We start from the raw sequence: 3,897 nt of genomic DNA on the forward strand, positions 1-3,897 counted from the left end.
GAATTGTCTGGTGGTGGGGGGTAGGGGGCAGAGGTCATGAAGGAGCAAGTTTTTTATTTGTGACCTCAGCTTTGGCAATAAAAGATCTTTTGAAAGCCAAATCACTGCTTGTGTCTTGTATTAGAGATTAATCCATCCTCCTCAGAGACAGAACGATGATGAAAGAGGCAATGTGAGAAGGAAGCTGGCTTTGCTGGGGATGGCCTGGCCTCAGGACGAGTACAGTCCAGAGGGCTGGGTCATGGACAGTGCTCAGGGGAGCTCTGGGCCTACTGCATGTTTCTGAGCCCCCAAGAATTTCCAACAATAGGATTTAGGATTGCCAGAGTGCAGCATCCCTATCCTCCATTTGGATCTGCCTATGGAAATGGAAATGGCCCAGGCTGAGAATTTGCCTGGATCAGGGAAGAGAGAGAGGTGCCGAGGTGATCCCGTGGCACTGTTGGATGGCCTTTATTGACTCTTGCACAGGTCTGCCACACCTTCCTCAGTATGTACACTAGCCTCCTAGACCCCTCCCTGAGGCTGTCTCTTTCAACAGCTGGTCTAAACTCCCTCTGTAACCTGGACCACTTCTGTTGCGGGCACTGACCACCTTAGAGCAAGTCTCCAGAGGGTCATCCTAATACTGTGTCTTTCAGAATCTCAGGGGTGATTTCTGGATTCTGCTAGAATGTGGAAAACTCTAAAGAGTGTCACTCCTGCCTTATCAGCAAGAGAAAAAGCTGGATTGTCCTCAAAATCATAACTTTTCCTATTGCCCAGGAGAAAGATTGGGGTAGATAGTCAGACTAGAGAGGGCCAGGCATGGTGGCTCAAGCCTGTAATCCAGCACTTTGGGAGGCCGAGGCAGGCAGATGATAAGGTGAGAAGATCGAGACCATCATGGCTAACACAATGAAACCCCGTCTCTACTAAAAATACAAAAAATTAGCTGGGTGTGGTGGTGGGCGCCTGTAGTCCCAGCTACTCGGGAGGCTGAGGCAAGAGAATTGCATGAACCCGGGAGGCAGTGCTTGCAGTGAGCCGAGATCATGCCACTGCACTCCAGCCTAGGTGACAGAGCAAGACTCCACCTAAAAAAAAAAAAAAAATTCGCCCTGGGCAGAGCTGCAGGGGAGGGTGGGAAGCCGACTCAGGCCCTGCACCTGGGTAGCTGCCCCACCTGGTGCTGCCCCAGGTAACGCATGTACAGGATGAGCCTCCCTTCCCCCAGCAGGGACAGATCCCACTCAGTCCTGCCCCGCATGCTCTCCTAAAAGTTTGTATCAAGACTGTGCCTCATTATTCCCTGCGATGGGAAGGGCTGGGGAGAAAAAAACCTACCTTACCACTTGATTGTGTCAAAATACAAGGGAATTCATTGCAAAGAGCTTGCTGTGCTCCATGAACGGGGTGGAGCTCAAGTCTGAAATTAAAGGATGGGTAGGAAGGGGGATGGCCAGCCACAACGTGGTGGAAGTGTGACCCTGAGCAGTGGGGGCAAGGGGGCCAGCCCACGGGCAGCAGGGCTGGTGTTGGCAAGGTTGCTGGAGCACACCGTGGGTGCCTGGAGGACAGCTTTTCTACCTTGACATGTAGGAAACAGACTTCTCTCTTTATAGGAAGATAATGCCATAAAATGTCTGTCTACCTATCTGTCTATCTATTATCTATCTACCATCTATCAATTATCTATCTATCATCTATTACCTATCTAATCTATTTATTTCATTAATTACATTTATTTATGTAATTGTATTTCAAGCTCTATTTACCTCCTGAACTTTTCATGTGAGAGACTACATTTTATTCAATATATGCTTTAGGTAAGTTTCAGTTGGATTTCTCTTAGTACATATGACAGAGTCCTGATTAAAATCATTGCTGCATTTGATCATTTATATTCTATCCTGTAACTATAATTTATGTGATCACCAGTAATTTTATCTGTATCAATCTTGTCTCCTGTATTAGATAACAGGTTCTTAAGGTCTGGTACAAACATTTCAGTTTTTTATTGAACATAACATACATATAAGAAATATATATATATACACATACACACATACACACAAACACACACATGCTATGTATATATTATGACTTGATAACTTCACTAACTGATCACACTGTGTAATTAGGACCCAGATCAAGACACAATATTACCAGCATCCCAGAAGCCACATGGAGCTCAATTCCAGGCCCTGCTCACTTCCCCCTCCTTGCCTATCTACCCAAAATGGTCACCACAGTCCTGATGTCTAGCAGCAATATTTCTTTTTCCAGGTTTTGTGCTTTATATGAACAGAATCACATACTCTTGCATCTGGTTTCTTTCCCTCAATATTATGTTTATGAGATTCACGTGTATTGTTGTATATGGCTGTAGTTTGTCATCATTGCTGTATAGTCATTCATTGTATGGATATGTCATAATTTACTGGTGTAGGGCACTTGGAGAATGTATTAGTCTGCTCGGGCTTCTGTAACAAAATACCACAGACTGGGTGGCTTAATTAACTGAAATTCGCATTTGCATAGTTCTCAAGGCTAGAAGTTCCAGAACAGGACACAGTGAGAAGGCAGCAGTCTGCAAACAAGGAGGAGAGCCCTCACCAGGAAATGAGTCAGCTTAATCAACTAAAATTTGCGTTTGCATAGTTCTCTAGGCTATAAGTTCCAGAACAGGACACAGTGAGAAGGCAGCAGTCTGCAAACAAGGAAGAGAGGCCTCACCAGGAAATGAGTCAGCTTAATCAACTGAAATTTGCATTTGCAAAAAAGGAAGAGAGCCCTCACCAGGAAATGAGTCAGCTTAATCAACTAAAATTTGCGTTTGCATAGTTCTCTAGACTAGAAGTTCCAGAACAGGACACAGTGAGGAGGCAGCAGTCTGCAAACAAGGAAGAGAGTCCTCACCAGGAAATGAGTCAGCTTAATCAACTAAAATTTGCGTTTGCATAGTTCTCTAGGCTATAAGTTCCAGAACAGGACACAGTGAGGAGGCAGCAGTCTGCAAACAAGGAAGAGAGGCCTCACCAGGAAATGAGTCAGCTTAATCAACTGAAATTTGCATTTGCATAGTTCTCTAGGTTAGAAGTTCCAGACCAGGACACAGTGAGGAGGCAGCAGTCTGCAAACAAGGAAGAGAGCCCTCACCAGGAAATGAGTCAGCTTAATCAACTGAAATTCGCATTTGCATAGTTCTCGAGGCTAGAAGTTCCAGACCAGGACACAGTGAGGAGGCAGCAGTCTGCAACCAAGGAAGAGAGCCCCCACCAGGAAATGAGTCAGTTTAATCAACTAAAATTTGCATTTGCATAGTTCTCTAGGCTATAAGTTCCAGAACAGGACACAGTGAGAAGGCAGCAGCCTACAAACAAGGAAGAGAACCCTCACCAGGAAATGAGTCAGCTTAATCAACTGAAATTCGCATTTGCATAGTTCTCGAGGCTAGAAGTTCCAGACCAGGACACAGTGAGGAGGCAGCAGTCTGCAAACAAGGAAGAGAGCCCTCACCAGGAAATCAGTCAGCTGTTCTCATTTAATGTTCTCACTTTAGAAGATCATGCAAGGGACAAAATCTCCAGAATCTTTCCTGGGTGGGGTCACAGCTGGGGTGGGAAAGTTGTAGCCCCTCTGAAACTTCCCGCATAGCTGTCCTTCTATGGAGGCCAGGAGCGCATCGGGGAAGGTACAGTCCACAGTCCCCCTCCATCCCACCAGTCAGGCTCCAAGGGGTCTTCACATCCACAAAACACCATTTTCATAGATCAATAGCACACACACCAAGATGCGCAAATTCAAACCAGATACCCAAATGGCACTCACTTATTGAATTTGCAAGGATTTTTACCACTAGTCTTTTGGTGGTAGTGCCTAGTGGCAAGAATATAGAAAACCAGGAAGTATTCA

General features: G+C 45.5%; 1 annotated feature.

Annotated features, from left to right (window-relative positions):
• Positions 2,334 to 3,533: an enhancer, noted in NCBI's record as "MED14-independent group 3 enhancer chr16:55786457-55787656 (GRCh37/hg19 assembly coordinates)". NCBI's record gives its function as "activates an origin of replication core promoter dependent on BRD2, BRD4, P300/CBP and CDK7 cofactors, and independent of MED14, by STARR-seq in HCT116 cells {active_cell/tissue: HCT116}" and the evidence as "EXISTENCE:reporter gene assay evidence [ECO:0000049][PMID:35650434]".

This window comes from Homo sapiens, chromosome 16 (assembly GCF_000001405.40).
Source record: "Homo sapiens chromosome 16, GRCh38.p14 Primary Assembly".
Taxonomy (NCBI): domain Eukaryota; kingdom Metazoa; phylum Chordata; class Mammalia; order Primates; family Hominidae; genus Homo; species Homo sapiens.